At 52.4% G+C, this 17401-nt stretch overlaps 1 protein-coding gene across 3 annotated transcripts, besides 2 other annotated features; it reads left to right on the top strand.

Annotated features, from left to right (window-relative positions):
• Positions 5109-5666: an enhancer, noted in NCBI's record as "H3K4me1 hESC enhancer chr1:43751792-43752349 (GRCh37/hg19 assembly coordinates)". NCBI's record gives its function as "activates a minimal SCP1, AML or CMV promoter by ChIP-STARR-seq in naive H9 embryonic stem cells {active_cell/tissue: H9 hESC(naive)}" and the evidence as "EXISTENCE:reporter gene assay evidence [ECO:0000049][PMID:30033119]".
• Positions 5667-6225: an enhancer, noted in NCBI's record as "H3K4me1 hESC enhancer chr1:43751233-43751791 (GRCh37/hg19 assembly coordinates)". NCBI's record gives its function as "activates a minimal SCP1, AML or CMV promoter by ChIP-STARR-seq in naive H9 embryonic stem cells {active_cell/tissue: H9 hESC(naive)}" and the evidence as "EXISTENCE:reporter gene assay evidence [ECO:0000049][PMID:30033119]".
• Positions 5930-9910, top strand: C1orf210 (chromosome 1 open reading frame 210). Of its 3 annotated transcripts, none has more exons than XM_011540802.3 (3): positions 5930-6141; positions 8419-8535; positions 8680-9910. In XM_011540802.3, the coding sequence occupies exons 2-3, from the start codon at positions 8517-8519 to the stop codon at positions 9000-9002; spliced, it is 342 nt and encodes a 113-aa protein (XP_011539104.1). In that variant the 5' UTR covers positions 5930-6141; positions 8419-8516; the 3' UTR covers positions 9003-9910. The 3 variants fall into 3 exon arrangements, with proteins under 3 accessions (XP_011539104.1, NP_001158301.1, NP_872323.1); NM_001164829.2 differs by lacking the exon at positions 5930-6141 and adding an exon at positions 6206-6234; NM_182517.3 differs by lacking the exon at positions 5930-6141 and adding an exon at positions 6206-6343.
• Positions 9911-17401: the final 7491 nt, after the last annotated feature.

Below are 17401 nucleotides of genomic sequence, written 5' to 3'. Positions count from 1 at the left end.
ATCCTGGGCAATAAAGCAAGACCCTGTCTCCAAAAAATAAAATAATTAGCTGGGCGTGGTGGCACAAGCCTGTAGTCCCAGCTACCCGGAAGGATCGCTTGGGCCCAGGAGACAGAGGCTGCAGTAAGCTATGATCGTGCCACTGCACTCTAGCCTGGGATAAGGTGAGACTCCGTCTCTTAAATCAATCAAACAAACAAACAAACAAAACCTGCAGGCCAGGCACAGTGGCTCATGCCTGTAATCTCAGCACTTTGGAGGCCGAGGTGGGTGGACCACGAGGTCAGGAGATAGAGACCATCCTGGCCAACATGGTGAAACACGGTCTCTATTAAAAATACAAAAATTAGCTGGGCATGGTGGCGCGTGCCTGTAATCCCAGCTACTCGGGAAGCTGAGGCAGGAGAATCGCTTGAACCAGGGAGTCGGAGGTTGCAGTGAGCCGAGGTCACGCCATTGCACTCCAGCCTGGTGACAGAGTGAGACTCTGTTTCAAAAAAAAAAAAAAAAAACCCAAAAACAAAACAAAACTGCATCCCTCGTGTAACTTCAATTTCCTTCTGCCACCATCTGCCCACCACCTCCTGTTTCTCTATTTTTTCTACTCACTCTCTCTAGTACACCAGCAACCCATCCTAAAATCCATCGATCCTACCACCTTTTTGGGTTCTCTGCACCCCTCTGTACCCACTTCCCCCTTTAACCTGACCAGATACTGTGGGCCATCATTACAACCACTCCCTTGCCTACAGCTCAGCTCCCTTGCCCACTCCCTTCTTGCTTTATCATATTTGCCCAGCAAATCCCTAATCTTGGTGAAACCCGTCTTTCCATCTTCTCCCCACCTGCACTTGGAGGGACTAGAAGAGGAAAAAACTCAGACACCCTAACTGACCATGCCCATCTACCTTAAAGGAGGCCTGAGGCTGTCTGGCAAGCCCATTATACGCCTGGGCCCATTCTCTCTGCCACGCTCTGGGGTGATGAATTCACACCTTCTTTTCTCTTCTCTTCTTCAGCCTCAGCACCCCCTTCCTGCTGTTCACTCAGCTAAGGACACTGCTTCTTATTTCTCGGGAAAAACAGAAGCCATCAGGGGAAAGCTTCCTAAGGCTCCCATCACAGACCTAGTGCATTTTACCTGTCTAAGCCACCTTCCTCCTTTGACTCAGAGGGACTCTGCTGCTCCTGTCCAAGGCCAACCCTCCCCGTGCACTTGACCCCACCCTCTCGATTCCTCAGGGACTCCACACTTGCCTTGTCCCTTCTCTTCCTTCTGCATCATCAATTTCCAGTCTCTCTTGGCTTATTCTGGCCAGCATTACACACATGGTCTAACAGCTCCTCCCCTTAAAGCAAAATCCTCCCTTAGTCCCACACCCCTCTCCAGTGTCAGTCCCATGTCTCTGCTCCTTTTATAGCAAAACTCCTTGGAGGTGTGGTCTCCACTTCCTCTGGTCCCATACTTATGCTTCACTCCAATCAGGCAGTTGTCCCCAGAACACTCTCTTGTCTCGTAAAACTGCTCTTGGCTGGGTGCGGTGGCTCACACCTGTAATCCAAGCACTCTGGGAGGCTGAGATGGGTGGATCACGAAGTCAGGAGATCAAGACCATCCTGGCTAACATGGTGAAACCCCGTCTCTACTAAAAATACAAAAAAATTAGCCGGGCGTGGTGGTGGGCGCCTGTAGTCCCAGCTACTTGGGAGGCTGAGGCAGGAGAATGGTGTGAACCCGGGAGGCAGAGCTTGCCGTGAGCTGAGATTACGCCACTGCACTCCAGCTTGGGCGACAGAGCAAGAGTCCATCTCAAAAACAAAAACAAAAACAAAACAAAACAAAAAAAACCTGCTCTCATTGCTAGGCACGGTGGCTCACGCCTATAATACCAGCACTTTGGGAGGTCGAGGTGGGCGGATTGCTTGAGGTCAGGAGTTCAAGACCAGCCTGGCCAACATGGTGAAAACCCATCTCTACTACAGAAATTAGCCAGGTGTAGTGGCACATGCCTGTACTCCCAGCTACTTGGGAGTCTGAGACAGGAGAATCGCTTGAACCTGGGAGGCAGAGGTTGCAGTGAACTGAGATCATGCCACTGCACTCCAGCCTGGGCTACAGAGCAAGACTCCGTCTCAAAAAACAAAAACAAAAACAAAAACAAAAAAACCTCTACTCTTGTCAAGGTCACTGGTGATCTCCACTTTGCCAATTTCAAAGGTCAATTCTCACTCCTTATCTTCACAAACCTTCCTGCAGCATTTGACTAACCAAGCTAGCTAAGCCCTTGCCCTTGAAATGCTTTCTTCCCTGGCCAGGACGGTCCCCGTATTTGCCTCCTACCACGTGGGCCCCTCCCTGGTCTCCTTTCCTGCTTTTCCTCCCTACCCTGACCCCTACTCCTGGCACATCCCAGGGCTCTTCTCTCTCTATACTTGTCCTTGAGGATCTCATCCAGATGCCTGGCTTTGAAAATCATCTACATTTTGTTGGTTCCTAAGTGTATGTTTCTAGTCCCCACCGCCTGTTGCATCCAGGCCACTTGATGCTACACTCTACTTAGGATGCTACCGGAGAGCTCACAGGCATCCTACGTGTCCAAAACTGAAGTCCTAGTTTCCCTCCCAAAGCTTCCCTCCCAGACTCCTCCCACTTCATTAAACGACAGCTCCAGTCTTCCAGTTGCTCAGACCAAAACTTTGGAGTTATTCTTGAATCCTTTCTTTTTCTCAAGCCCCACATTTAATCAGCCAGTCATGTCAACTTTGCCTTCAAAATATATCTGGAGTCTGAGCACTTGTCCCCACCTCCACCAGACTTCCTGGCTGCCACATGTCCTTTCCCCTAGATGATCGCAACAGCCTCCTAACTGGCCTCCTGCTTCTACCCTGGCCTCCCCTGGTCCGTACTTCATGCAGAAGACAGACAGTTTCCTTTACAATGCAAACAGCAGTCCTCTGCTCAAACCCCCAGTGGCTTCCCATCTCCCGGAGAGATCCGGTGAGGCCCCTCAGGAATAGCTCCTGATATGCACCTGGTGTAGACCCTTGGATCTGCACCCCTCTTTCTGCACTCCATCAAGCGGCCGCCTTGTTGTAGCTGAACAAGCCAGCCGTGCTCCCGCATCTCAGCATTTGTGCTGGCGGTTCCCTTTGCCTAGAATGCTCTGCCCCCAGATATTGGCACAATCACTGTCTCACTCTTAGCCAGATCTCAGCTCAAACATGCCCTCTTCAGTGAGTCCCCTCTTCTGACTATCTAAAGTAGCACCCACCTCTCAAGTTCACATGGAGCTATCATGAAGCTGTTTTCTTCCCAACATTTACTGTTATCTGAAATAATCTTATTTATTTCTTTGTGTATTGTTCGTCTTATCCACCAGAATGGAAGCTTTATGGCGGCACAAATTGTCCCAGAAGCTAGCACAGAGCCTCTGCATGGTTGTCAGGGCTGCCACAGAAGGTTGTAAAGGTTGTTCACTGCATCAGAGCTCCTGGCTGAGGAGCCGCGGGTGCTGACACCCAGTCTGCCCTCTGTTCTCCATGATGTGGGGCCATTCAGCAGATAGCCATCTGCTATTTAGCAATGTGTGACATATGGGCTGGCTGTGACTCTGGTGGCCATTCAAAAAATATTCATTGAATAAATTACTGAATGATGGATGAGCAGACCCTCTGCTTGTTTTCCTCTGCAGGACTTCATACCAATTACCTTCTCACAGCCTCATTTTCCTTTTCTGTTAAGGGGACAGTTAACATCTATCTCATAGCATGGTTACAAGGATTAAGTGAAATAGTTCATTAAAAAGCTGGCACAAATATGATTCCATTTATATGAAATATCCAGAACAGGCAAATCCATAGAGACTGAAAGCAAAGTAATGGTCGTGAGAGGCCAGGGGGAAAGGGACACGGGGAATACTGCTTAACTGGTCAGGGGTATCCCTTTGGGGTGATGAAGAAGTTTTAGAACTAGAGTGATGGTTGCATGACGTTATGAGTGTGCTAAACACTACTGAATCGTGTGCCTGGAAATGGCTAACATGGGGAATTTTATGTTATATGAATTAGGTTATGGTATATGAGCACCTTAATTTAAGAAAACCTGGCACAGTGTCTAGGACACGCTAGGTGCTCAATGAATATCAGTTGAATCTCATGATTTCCTTGCTTCAAAAATAAAGTAAAACCCTAAGCCCTCCTTGGCACCTCATTGCCCCATCCAGGATAATCCTTTCTTTCCTCAAATTTGTTTCAGAAGGGTATACTTTTGCCATTTTAGATATGGGGGATATGATGGAAACAAGACAGATGCAGAGTCCATTCCCAGAGTTTACAGGTTGGCAGGGAAACTAAAGAGAAAATCACACCCCACATGTTCAGGGATATAGGGGAGAAGGGCCACCATCTGCAGGGGTGCAGTGGAGAGTGGGGAAGGCAGGAGTCCCAGGAGAAGGGAGCAGAGCCTGCAGAGCCAGGGAGAGGAGAGGGCATGGTGAGTTCTGGGAATAGAAAAGAGTTTGGTGGCTGGGCGCAGTGGCTCATGCCTGTAATCCCAGCACTTTGGGAGGCCAAGGCGGGCAGATTGCTTGAGGTCAGGAGTTCGAGACCAGCCTGGCCAACATGGCGAAAACCCGTCTCTACTAAGAATACAAAAATTAGCTGGGTGTGGTGGCACATGCCTGTAATCTAGCTACTCAGGAGGCTGAGGGAGGAGAATCGCTTGAACCCAGGGGCTGGAGGTTGGAGTGAGCTGAGATCGCACCACTGTACTCCAGCCTGGGTGACACAGTGACTCTGTCTCAAAAAAAAAAAAAAAAAAAAGAAAGAAAATAGAAAATAGTTTGGTGTAGCTGCAGCAGAGGAGGCAGGAAAGGTGGGAAGGGATGGCCCTGAGGGTTCAGATTTCATCCTAAGATCTTCAGGGCCAAGTGTGAACTGGCCCCCACCTTCCAGCCACAGTTCTACCATGCCTTGTTTGCATCCCCTCTCTGTACCCCCCTTTTATTTTTTTGAGACAGGGTCTTGCTCTGTCGCCCAGGCTGGAGTGTGATGGCGCAATCATGGCTCACTGTAGCCTAAAACTTCTGGGCTCAGGCAGTCCTCCCCCCTCAGCTTCCCCAGTAGCTAGGACTACAGGTGAGCATTACCACGCCCAGCTAATTTTTGTGTTTCTAGTAGAGATGGGGTCTCCCTATGTTGCCCAGGCTGATCTCCGCTCATGGGCTCAAGCAATCAACCCGCTTTGGCCTCCCAAAGTGCTGGGATTACAGGCGTGAGCCACCATACTTGGCCTCTCTGCAGCCCTTGCTCCCACTGTGCCCGGCCTATCCTTGCGAATTCGGGGCCTCCAGGCCTTGGCGCGTGCGGTCCTTCCTCCCTTAGGTAGTTACGGGGAGCCTGCCCTGGGTCAGTACTGTGCTGGGAGCCACAGGCTGTCAAAGCCTGGCCCCACCCCAGGAGAGCGAATAATCACAAGATAATGAGGAATGCTGCGACAGTGGGTGCTCTGGGCATGGAAGAGTGGGGACTTGCAGGGTAGAGGGAGGACTCAGGGAAGGTGATTCCTGAACTGGAGCTTGAAGAACAGGGGGCACCAGGCCCAGAGACGAGGAGTAAAGCTAAAGGGAATCAGAGAGCACCCGGGAGAGGTTCAGAGCCTGGCTTGTGGGGTCACGGGATCCTGAGATCCAGATGAAGGCTGAGCCCCCATCCAGATCCACCCCTCACCCCCTACACAGTTACACACACATTTGTAGGCAATTTGGGAGTGTTCTTGGTCCTCCTGGCTTTGCCTGGAAAGAATGCCCTCCCCACCCGCTCTGGTTCCAGCCCACCACCCTTACAGGCCTGCAAAGCTCCCTCTTCAACTCTGGACTTTGTACCAGTCACCGGACGTTCAGTTGTTTATCAACCTGAGCACCTGCCTGCTGAGGTGTCTGCCCCTCTAGGGCCCGCTGGACGCTTCTCTGGATCCCAGCTGTACAAACCGCAAGCATTGGGGGGTGAGGGTGAGGTCTACACCCATAAAGTTCTTGGCAAAAGCTTGGGGGAGAGGTAGAATTATCCCTCCCCACTGGAGGCGCTGCCGCAGCCCGCCCTCTGCCAGACCTGCAGCTTCAGCCCCGCCCACTGCCTCCGCAGGTGAGTCAAGCTCTGCCTTGACCCGCCCACCTGTCCAGGTTCTGCCGGCCCCAGCCGGAAGCTTACTCCGCGGATTGTGCACAGTTCTTGAAGGTGGGAACAGAAGAGAAGGCCCGGGGGGGCCGGGGAGGGGGTACCCAGGCTCTGCACAGTACCCAAGGGGCTTCTGGCAGCAGGAAGGAAGCTACACATCAGAGTTGGGGTAGGTGTCTGTGCATGTCAGAGGGGTGTTTGTTGGTGGAGGAAAGTGTGACCTGGGGGGAGGGGCTGTGCGTATGGGGGATGGGCAGATCAGTGTGGGCTGTGAGTTCAGAGGCCTGTTGGGGAGTGTATATGCACCCTTGGAAGGTTAGTGTGTGTGTGTCTTCTTGGGAAGAATTCACAGGGCAGGGAGGAAAGGAATAGGAATACAACCTTAGAAACGTCAAATTGAATTCAGTTCATTCCAGTGTAACACATTCTCATGTTTTGCGGACCTAGTACTAGGATGAGGCCCACAGCAGGCTGAGGAATGAATGAGCAGCTGACCTCTCCTTCCCAGGACGTCTCTCCCGCTCCCACCTGTATATTCACTCTCACGCTCCCCTCGTTAATTTCACAAGCACCACACTGAGGGGCTGAACGCCCAGCTCCCTGCAGCGCCAGGGTACAGATCCTTCAGCCAGCCGTTGCCCACGGGGAGCTGCCCGCCTAGCAATGACTGGTTCTGACTGGTGGTTGACTGGGCAGGATGGTGACAGGTCATCCAGGGTAGGTCCAGGGACAACCTCACAGGCAGGTATGGTCTGATTTGGCCTTGACAGACTGGCGCCCCAAAAACTGAGGAGGGCGTGGCCAGGGAGCAGGAGGGTGGGTGAGTGGGAGGAGGGCATGTGTGTCTGTCTGAAGTGCTGGGGAGGGAACTGTGGAGAAGAGGAAGAAGAGTTTGGCTTGAGGGCCGTGTGCTGGATTGCAAGGCACTGTGGGGCATGGGGAGCTTTTGAAGGGATTTTAACCAGGCTAGTGATGGGGTCAGATTTGGGTTGTAGGCCCATCACTCTGTGGAAGAGACCAGAGGTGGGGAGCCCAGTTAGGAGATTATGGCTAGAGTACAAGAGGAAGGTGGCTTGGACTCAGCTGTGGCAGTGGGGTGGAGAAGAGGGTATTGTCATTCCAGAGATGTTTAGTGGAAGACATGATGGGGATTGATACCAGGTTGGATGTGAGGAGGTTGGGGGGGGTTTGAAGGCACTTGTATCAAAGAATATACTGGGGTACTCCCCTCAACTTCTCTCCTAAGTACTTCCCTAGCCCGGCTACTCTGCCCCCAAGGACTCCCCTGGTTCAGGTGCTCCACTGGCAGATATGCTCCTGCCCTAGCTGTTCGTCTGCCAGGTACTTCTAACTTTCATGCTCCTCCTCTAGATACTCCCCAGATTCAGGTGCGCCTCCTCCAGACACTCCTTTGATCCAGGTGCTCCTCCTACAGGTGTTTCCATGCCTGGATGATCTTCCTCCAGCTACTCCCCTAATTGAAGTGTTCCTCCTCTAGGTGTCCCCAGCCCTGGGTGATAATTTCCTGATTCAGGTGATCCTCATTTGGATACTCCCTGGCTTGAGCCTCCCTGTGGGGGCAGAGTGTGGGCCTCCTTTGAGTAGAGGTGAAAGGACAGGGGTTTGCTTGAAGGGCTGAGGGTAGAGGTGGGCAGCAGCGGCTTTCAACTTAGAAGGGCCAGGGCTGCTCTGGCTGTGTCCAGGGCCCCTGTCCTCAGTAGCAACTTGCATCACCCTCCCCATATGTGGTCTCCGCTTTGGCTGGGTAGCTCCAAGCAATTGCTGTTTTCTGACCTTCGGGAGCCAGGACCCACCTCTGCCCCTGTCTCCCATCCTCAGCTTACCAAGCAGTGCAACAGACTGGGCTCTGGGTTCGAATCTGAAGACTTTAGTTGAGTCAGTTCACCTTTTTCAGCCTCAGAGCCCTCATCTATAAAGTGGGGATAATGTTTATACTTACCTTACTGGGTTTTGTGAGCATGATGCCTGGTGCTTGAATTATAAGGAATGCTCAGTAAGTTCTACAATTTATTTTTTTTTTAGCAGCTTCCAGAGCCAAACCCTGTGATGGTCCCTTACAAATAGCCAGTTTCTGTAGGCTCAGCTTGTTTCTCTTCTGTGGAGAGCTGGTGTGGTCAGTTGTCCAGTCCCCAGAGTTTGTGCAGGGCTACCATGGCTGTGAGTGTGACCTGGAAAGTGCACCCTGTGACCATCCCTGACACCCATACCTATGTTATTTTCTAGGACTTGTGCCCTGGGGCTGCCTGGCATCTGGGGGCCTCCTCAGAGCCAGGGCTCTTTCTGGTTGAGGCTGAGACTCACTGGTGTCATCAGGCCCCTCCATGAATGAGACAAACAAAAGTGAGTGACAGTGGGAGGATGATGGGGGTGGGGGGCTTCCCCTTAGATGCTGGGGTTGGGGGAAGGACCCTACCTGCACTGCTCTTGGTTTCTCCAGGGAGCCCCCTCTGGGGCCCACCTATAATGCTGTCCCTTTCTCTGCAGCACTTGTTGGGCCTTCGGAGCTCCCCACAGCGTCTGCTGTGGCCCCTGGCCCAGGCACTGGGGCTCGGGCATGGCCTGTGCTGGTAGGATTTGTGCTGGGGGCTGTGGTCCTCTCGCTCCTCATTGCACTTGCTGCCAAATGCCACCTCTGCCGCCGATACCATGCCAGCTACCGGCACCGCCCACTGCCTGAGACAGGAAGGGGAGGCCGCCCACAGGTGGCTGAAGATGAGGATGATGATGGCTTCATCGAGGACAATTACATTCAGCCTGGGACTGGCGAGCTGGGGACAGAGGGTAGCAGGGACCACTTCTCCCTCTGAGCTCCCATCTTTAGACCCTCCCCACTCCCTCCATGCCTGACAGCTTAAGGACAGTGGTTATGACATGGGGGCCTTGAACCTCAGGGACAGAGGTGGCTGGGGCTTAAAGGTTGGCCAGGGATGGAGTAAACCCCACTTCCCTGACACTAGCCAGCAAAGTGACAATGACCCTCTCTTGCTCAATAACTCTCAACTGTTCCCTGCTGTTCTCAGGATAAAGCCAAACAAAGGCTTGAGTGTGGACATAAGGCCCTCTGTGATCATGCCTCTCGGCCTCTTGGTTTCTTTTCTTGCCTTCCCCTACTTTACTGTCGAAATCAATGTTATTCTCCCTCCCACCACTTCCCATGCAGTTTCCCCAGGCACCTTTGCTCACATTGGTCCCCCTGCCTACGCTACTCTTCTCCTAAATCCTCTATGACTGTGATGGCCTGCCTACCTGCCAGCATTTCAAATATGCCCAGATGGTAACATTTGTGCAGGTGAAAACCAGTGCCAAGCTTCCTTTTTTTTTTTTTCCTGAGACGGAGTCTCACTCTGTTGCCCAGGCTGGAGTGCAATGGCACATCTTGGCTCACTGCAACCTCCGCCTCCTGGGTTCAAGCGATTCTCCTGCTTCAGCCTCCTGAGTAGCTGGGATTACAGGCATCCGCCACCACGCCCAGCTAATTTTTATATTTTTAGTAGAGACGAGGTTTCGCCATATTGGCCAGGATGGTCTCGAACTCTTGACCTCAGGTAGTCCGCCTTCCTCGGCCTCCCAAAGTGCTGGGATTACAGGCGTGAGCCACCATGCCCGGCCAGCTTCTTAATGAAATATTTTCCTATAAATAAAGTGGGTAATCCGGTTATAATATGTTTTTCACAGGAATTAATAAATCTATTTTCATTTTGAATAAAAATAAAAAGCTGTCACTCATTTTTATTTTTCTTGAGCTGGGCTTTATCACTCAGAGCTAGAAGACACTGCTCAGATGCTCCCCCCTCCAAGACACCTTCCATGAGCCCTTCTCTAGTACTGTCCTGCCCACATTTTGTTTTCATCTTTTTGTTTGTTTTCAGGCGGAGTCTTGCTCTTGTTGCCCAGGCTGGAGTGCAATGGCGCAATCTCAGCTCACTGCAAACTCCGCCTCCCGGGTTCAAACAATTCTCCTACCTCAGCCTCCTGAGCAGCTGGGATTACAGGCACCCACCACCACCACACCCAGCTAATTTTTGTATTTTTAGTAGAGATGGGGTTTTGCCATACTGGCCAGGCTGGTCTCAAACTGCTGACCTCAGGTGATCCACCCTCCTCAGCCTCCCAAAGTGCTAGGATTACAGGTGTGAGCCACCACACCTGGCCATCTTTTTTTTTTTTTTTTTTTTTTTTTTTTGACACAGGGTCTCTCTCTGTCACCCAAGCTGCAGTATGGTGGGGCTATCACAGCTCACTTTAGCCTCGATCTCCTGTGCTTAAGTGATCCTCCCATCTCAGCCTCCCAAGTAGCTGGGAATACATGCATGTGCCACTGCGCATGGCTAATTATTTTTTGTAGAGATGGGGTCTCACTGTATCACCCAGGCTTGTCTCGAACTCCTAGACTTTAGTGATCCTCCCACCTCTGCCTCCCAAAGTGCTGGGATTTACAGGCTTATTTTAATCTTTATGACGGTTCGTACTTGCCTCTTACTATGCCTGCCCCCATAGCTAAACTGGGAGCTCCCTGAGGCCCCAGATTGTGTCTTATTGTGTATCCTCAGATTCTTGCACAAGGGAGCTAGTTTTAAGATGGAAAAGACTTGAGTTAAGCTGTTTTTAATTGCAAGCAATAGAAAGGAGTTTGGGGGAGAGTCCTGGCTGTTGCATAGAATCAAAGGGACAGCAGGAAGCAGGCGGTCCCAGCAGCCAGAGGTCAGGCATTTCACCCCTAGCATCCTGTCGTTTAGGGGCACTGATGGGACTCTCTATAACCAGGACTTCCAAACTCTCAGTTCCAAGTTTCAAGTGCTCAGAAAAGAGAATCAATTTGGCCCAGTTTGGGTCAAGTATACATAGGCTTAAAGCACAATCTGCTATGAGTGGGGGGCATGGTTTGGGGAGCCCATCTGTTTGTTCCAGATCATTCTCAGACAAGGGGCAGTTCTCATGAGCCAGGCAGCCACCCCCATGTGTTCCCCAAGTACAGTGTCAGCCTTTGAGGAATGAGCTGGTACAGAAGGAAAGTGAGGCATTGGCAAATGTAGTGAGGTGCTTGGGAAAGAGGCAGGAGATTGAAGAGGACTTGAGTGTCGTATCTGAGGGGTGCCCATGGCAGTGAGGAAGCCCAAGAGTGGATCTGTTAGGGCCTTGGATGCCAAGCTCACACTTCAACCTGAGAGCAATGGAAGCTCATCTGTGGACTTTTTTTGTGCAAGGGCATGACATAATCATGATAGAAAAGTCATTCTGGCTGCTGTGCAGAGATGGATTGGAGGGGAGACACCGAGAGAAGGTAATAAGACCTGTCTAAGGTGTGACATAGGAACAGACTTTGAGACAAGAGGGAGGAAGAGCTGATAGGACCTGTTGACTTTGGATATGGGGAGTAGGTAGGTATCAGAAAAACGCACCCTGGCTTCTGGCTTGGTTACTGGGTACATTGACGAAGAGCAGGTTGGGGCAATGGGGATTCAATGTTGGATACAGGATTTCCAGGGGAGATGCCTCGGGGCTGCTGGGTTCACAGGGAGAAGTCTAGTCTGCAGACACGGGCTTGGGAACACTTGGCACCAGGGTCATTGAGAGCAGGAATGGATGAGATCGCCAGAGAGGAGCGGAGCGGGAAACACATCTCAAGACTGTCAGCGGACCAAGCCCTGGCAGGGGAGTTGGAGGAAGCAGAGAGGAGGGAAGCCCAGCTCACATGACCCCCAACCTGGCCATGGTTCCTGAGTCCAGAGATGGTCTGCCCCTCACAGGCCTGGGGAGAGCAGAGGCTGCCCCAGCCTGAGACCCTGGAGGAGGACCCCAGAGGCTGACCTAAGGGGCATGTCCTGGCCTACCAGGAAAAGCTGCTGCCCAGGCAGCTGAGCCTGCCCCCTGCCCCTGGGCTCCTTCAATTCCCACCACAGAGGAGCTGCCCTGCGTGCAGTTCTATGCTTGGCTGTCCCTGTTCTCCTGTACTCTTTGGGGCCTCAGTCAGAACCTCTGATGGACCCAGGAGAAGAAGGTAAGGGCCTGATCCCAGACTCGCAGTTGATTTTGCTGAGCCTGTGCCCCACAGGGTGCCCGAGCTGGGGCTTCCCCTCAGAACCAGCTGTGGGTGGCAAGCCTGGCTGAGGAGGGCCCTGTAGTCACAAGAACCTTGGACCCTGTCCTTCAAGGCCTTGATTCCTTGGAGGAATTTCTTCCCACTGTGGTTTGCATGCCTGACCCCAAGTGCAAAGAGGGAGCATGACCTGAGCCCACAGCCGCAAAGGGCTGGGGGTGTTGGGAGCTTGGGATTCAGCCAGGCCCTCTCTGGTTTGGCGTCTTCTGGCTTCGGGTCCTGGCCCCGCCTGCCTCTGCCCCTGGCCCTGCACCTTGTCCTCCACTCCTTGGCAGCTGCCACTACCTACTCTGCCTTGGGAATCCCAACCCAGCTACCCACTGTCTCATCCTGCTGCCTCAAAGGCAAGGCTACATCCCTTGCACTGTGTGGAGGCCAAAGATGGAGTCACACAAAGCCACCAACATGACGTTTAAGAAACTCCAGCAGTAAGCCGGGTGAAGTGGCTCACGCCTGTAATCGCAGCACTTTGAGAGGCCGAGGCAGGTGGATCACGAGGTCAGGAGATCGAGACCATCCTGGCTAACACGGTGAAACCCTGTCTCTACTGAAAATACAAAAAATTAGCCGGGCGTGGTGGCGGGCGCCTGTAGTCCCAGCTACTCGGGAGGCTGAGGCAGGAGAATGGCGTGAACCCAGGAGGCGGAGCTTGCAGTGAGCCGAGATCACACCACTGTACTCCAGCCTGGGCGACAGAGCAAGACTCAGTCTCAAAAAAAAAAAAAAAAAAACAAAACAAAACACCAAAGAAAAAACACTCCAGCAGTATCCTAGCAGACTGGCAAGGTGAGTTGAGGGCACATGTTACCTGAATTTAAATCCTGGCTCGGCCATGTATGCTGGGAGACCTTGGGCAAGTTACTTAGCCTCTCAGTGACCCAACTTCTCAGTGAAATGGGGATTACAACAGTACTTACCTCATAAGGTTGTTAGCAGGATTAAATGAGTCTATGCCAAGTGGAACGGAGCAAGTGCTCTGCAGTGTTAGTGATATCCTTGCGGGCACCCCGAGGGCAACAGCTCCTCATAAGAGGTAACCTGTGTTCATTCTGAGGGAGACGCTTGCCCCATCTCCTTCCTCCTCATTCCCTTCCCGCTGGGGATTTGACTGTCTCTTTCTCAGGACTTAGGTTGGAAGATCTGGTCAGGACAGCAAAGGGTTTGAAATAGAATCTCTGCTGCTGTAGAATAATAGTACTGATGTTGTTCTAGCACTTTTATTTTGAGACGGAGGTCTTGTTCTGTCACCCAGGCTGCACTGCAATGGTGCGATCTCGGCTCACTGCAACCTCCACACCTCCTGGATTCAAGTGATTCTCCTGCCTCAGCCTCCTGAGTAGCTGGGACTACAGGCATGTGCCATCACGCCCAGCTAAGGTTTTTGTATTTTTAGTAGAGACAGGGTTTCACCATGTTGGCCAGGCTGGTCTTGACCTTCTGACCTCAAGTGATCCGCCCACCTCGACCTCCCAAAGTGCTGGGATTACAGGCGTGAGCCATCACACCAGGCTGTTCTAGCATTTTCTTACAACAGCCCTGCTTAATCCATGTTATAGATTGAGAAGATGAGGCTCAAACAAGTTCACTGCAATTTGCCCACTCCGCAATAACACCATTATCTCACCTTGAAGTAACGATGAAATAGACTCAGAGAAGGACTGTCTCGGCTGTTGGACTCTCATCTTGCCTGGGCTGGGTCCTCCCACCTTTACCCTCTACAGTGAATAGCGGCTGAGAAGTCCCAGGGTACAAGGTCCAGTTTTGGGAGAGCAGGTCATGAGGGTAGAGCTGGTGTGTCCCATCTCTGGCCGGGCCTGGCCCTCAGCTTCTATTGCCCTCCAGGTATCTGGGGTGGCTGCCAGGGCTATGCCCAGGGGAGTCTCACAGGTCCCCTGCAAAAGGCAGGAAGGCAGCCCCTGTCCTTGTGCTCCTGCATGAGCTGAGTATGACGGGGCATGTGCAGGTCCCTTGGGGCCTGGAGGAAGCTCCTCCAAGGTCTGAGACCTGAGTGTCCAGAGGCCCAAGGTCTCCTGTGAGATGTGACTGGATGTGATGTGAGGACCACCTGGACTGGACCAGATTTGGCAGTTTCTAGAGCATATTCTTCCAGTCTCAGATATGAAGGGACATGGCTGAGAACCTAGAGTTTGAATGTTAAACCCAGGAGGGACATGTGTCAAGCTCCTCTCTCCACCTCACTGCCACCGATGGGAGCCTCTAGGTCCAGACAAGGCTGTGCTGTCTCTCCATCAGCCCTTGTTTTGGATTTTTCCTTCATCCAATGCCAGTTTAGATTTCCAGGTCTGGACCCTTCTTTGTGCTATTCCTTCTTTCTGGGATACTCTTCCTAACCTCTCTAGCTGGGCCAACTTCTTCTCGTCCCTCAGTGGCCAGCCGAGACGGGCTGTTTGGCCATTTCTTCTCATTCTTTTTCTTCTAAGGCCAATCCCTGGCTCCACACCGCAGCCAGCAAGTCCCAAATCCTATTCTGGCCACAGTACCCTACTCCCCTGGCGAAAGTCTTTCCATGTTTTCCAGTGTCCTGAGGACAAAGTCCAAATTCCTCTGCTGGGCTGCCAAGGCCATTGGACAAGTAGGAGTAAGTGAGGATAGATTTGGTGGGGGCCGTGGTGAGGGGCTCCTGTCACGGGCTCTCGCCTTCTCATGAAGAGAGGAGGCTGTCTTTTGCTGAGAGTGGTGTTTGGGGTGGGAGGATGTGGGGGTTGGGGGTGGTGAAGAGGGTGGAGAGAACTTCAGAGTCACGGTAGGAGCAGGAGCCAACCAGGAAAAGGCAGTGTCACTGAGGAGCCGCAGTGCAGATTCAGCTGAGAACTTCTTTTTTGTATTTTTGGTAGAGACGGGGTTTTTGCCATGTTACCCAGGCTGGTCTTGAGCTCCTGGGCTCAAGCAATCCACCCGCCTCAGCTTCCAAAAGTGCGGGGATTACAGGCGTGAGCCACCGTGCCTGGCCTCAGCTGAGAACTTGATAGAGGAGTTCGCAGTGACAGCAGGCTGTCTGGCTGTACAGATTTCTCTAATGGCCACTCACAGTGGGGCGGGCGCATCCAAGGCAGATGGATGGATTTGTCTATGGAGGGGGTTTGGCTGGGAGGGTGGGACCCAAGGGCAGAGGGCTAAGGACTTGACAAGTCCCTCAAAGAGCAGGTGAAATGATGGCCACAGAACCTTAACTAGATGGTAAGGGGGTGGGCAGGAGGGGGCAGTGAAGTCAGGAGGCAGCAGCTTTACAGAGGGAGAACGGAGATGCCAGTGGGCTTCTGGTTGCAATGGAGGCAAAGAAAGTATTCAGTGAAATGATTTGAGCAGGCTGCAGGCAAGAGGTTGTGGGAAGCCTACTTCAGTGATTGAGGAGGTAGACACATTTCTTCCCTGCCCGTGCTTTACCTAGCTGGTACCATCACCTGTCTCCTGTTACAGTTGGGTGTCCATTACCCTATGGGATCAGTGCCCTGGGGCCATGAGCCCTAGTCTCCATCTCCCGTCCTTCCCAGGAGAGCCTGGTGCTCACCCACTCACCCACGGCAGCTGCTCAGTCAGATGCTTATGCCAGGTAACCCTCTCTTTCCCCATTTTCTAAGCCTCTGGGCTTCTGTTTTTTCTTTAGTTTCTTAAAAGAAATATTGTAAATAGCCGGGCAAGATGGCATGCGCCTGTAGTCCCAGCTACTCGAGAGGGTGAGGCATGAGAATCGCTTGAACCTGCGAGGCAGAGGTTGCAGTGAGCAGAGATCACGCCACTGCACTCCAGCCTGGGTGACAGAGTGAGACTTGATCTCAAAAGAAAAGAAATAATGTGAGAATTGCAAAAGAGTCTAACCCTGTCTCAGATGAAAGGAAAGGGTATTTCTCCCCATATTACAGGAAAGCAGGACATTCTGTAGTCCCATATCAGGCCAGGAGTGGGTCATAGTGATAGATTGCCCTTGGGAACTCAGGAAGAGTGAGAACTGAGGTAGAGAGCAGGGGGCTTTGGGAGGGACAGATTCAGGGCCAACAGGGGCAGTGGCCTACCTTCCCTATCCCCTCCCAGCTATAGGTGGGTCTCTCCTTGCTCCTTGCACACTCATTGCCATCTGGCCATGCCGGAGTCCTTCATCCATCCAATAAAGAACCTACTCTATGTCGGCTGGGTGTGGTGGCTCACGCCTATAATCCCAGCACTTGGGAAGGCTGAGGTATGGGCAGCCACAGACAGGCTCTGAGGCAGATTTTCGTTTTAGCTTTAGGATGATCACTCTGGCTCAAGGGATGTGTGTGTGCATGGCAGGGGGAAGGGGAATGAAGAGAAAAGAGCAGAAGCAGGGAGAGAGGAGGAGGCCGATGTGCCACTCAGGCAGGAATGAAGAGGGTCCCTTCTGGGCAGTGAGCATGAAGATATGGATTGTCAGACAAATCTGTGTGAGGGAAACCAGAGGAGTTGGTGATTTGTCAGTGGACTTGGGTGAGGAGACAGTGACGGTGCCAACTAGCATTGCACCGAGTCTCTACTCTAGATGCCCCCTGAGCGTGGCACCTCCGGGTGAGAGAGAGGAGCTCATTCAAGATGAGAGGAGCAGGGTCAGTTTTGAATATGGTGGGTATGAGGCACCCTTGGAGCACCCAGGGGAGCCATTTCTGTTGTCCTTGGCGTTCTGGGACACGCCTTGTCTTTCTCTCCCAGGTCTGTTCACGCTGTTCCCTCCCTCCACTGGCAACACTCTTCCCCTCATCTGTCAGCCCCGTGTTTTCTCCAGGAGACATCCTTGACCTTTTCTGCTGAAAGCCAACTTTTTGTTGTCAGAGCCTCTGTAGTTCTACTGTAACGTTTCTTTGGAGACAGGTCTCATTTCCCTGCTTTTCTGGGCATCTTCCACGGGCTTCATGCAGTCTGCACCTCGAGAAGCAGGAAGTGATGAAACACTTGAGTGCTGCTTCCCGTGGCTCACCATCAGCCAGGAAATGGCACTGCATGCTACAGAGGGGAGATCCTCCCAGGGCTGACTCCAAGCAGGAAGTGACTCTCACCACCCTAGGGGATTTGAAACACCTCTCCCATGCCCAGGAACCTAGAGCAGGCCAGCTGGTGCAGCCACTGCCCAGACGTGGGATG

The sequence above is a fragment of the Homo sapiens genome, chromosome 1 (assembly GCF_000001405.40).
Source record: "Homo sapiens chromosome 1, GRCh38.p14 Primary Assembly".
Classification (NCBI taxonomy): Eukaryota; Metazoa; Chordata; class Mammalia; order Primates; family Hominidae; genus Homo; species Homo sapiens.
The sequence above is the reverse complement of the archived record's forward strand: the minus strand, read 5'-3'. Positions and strand labels throughout refer to the sequence as shown.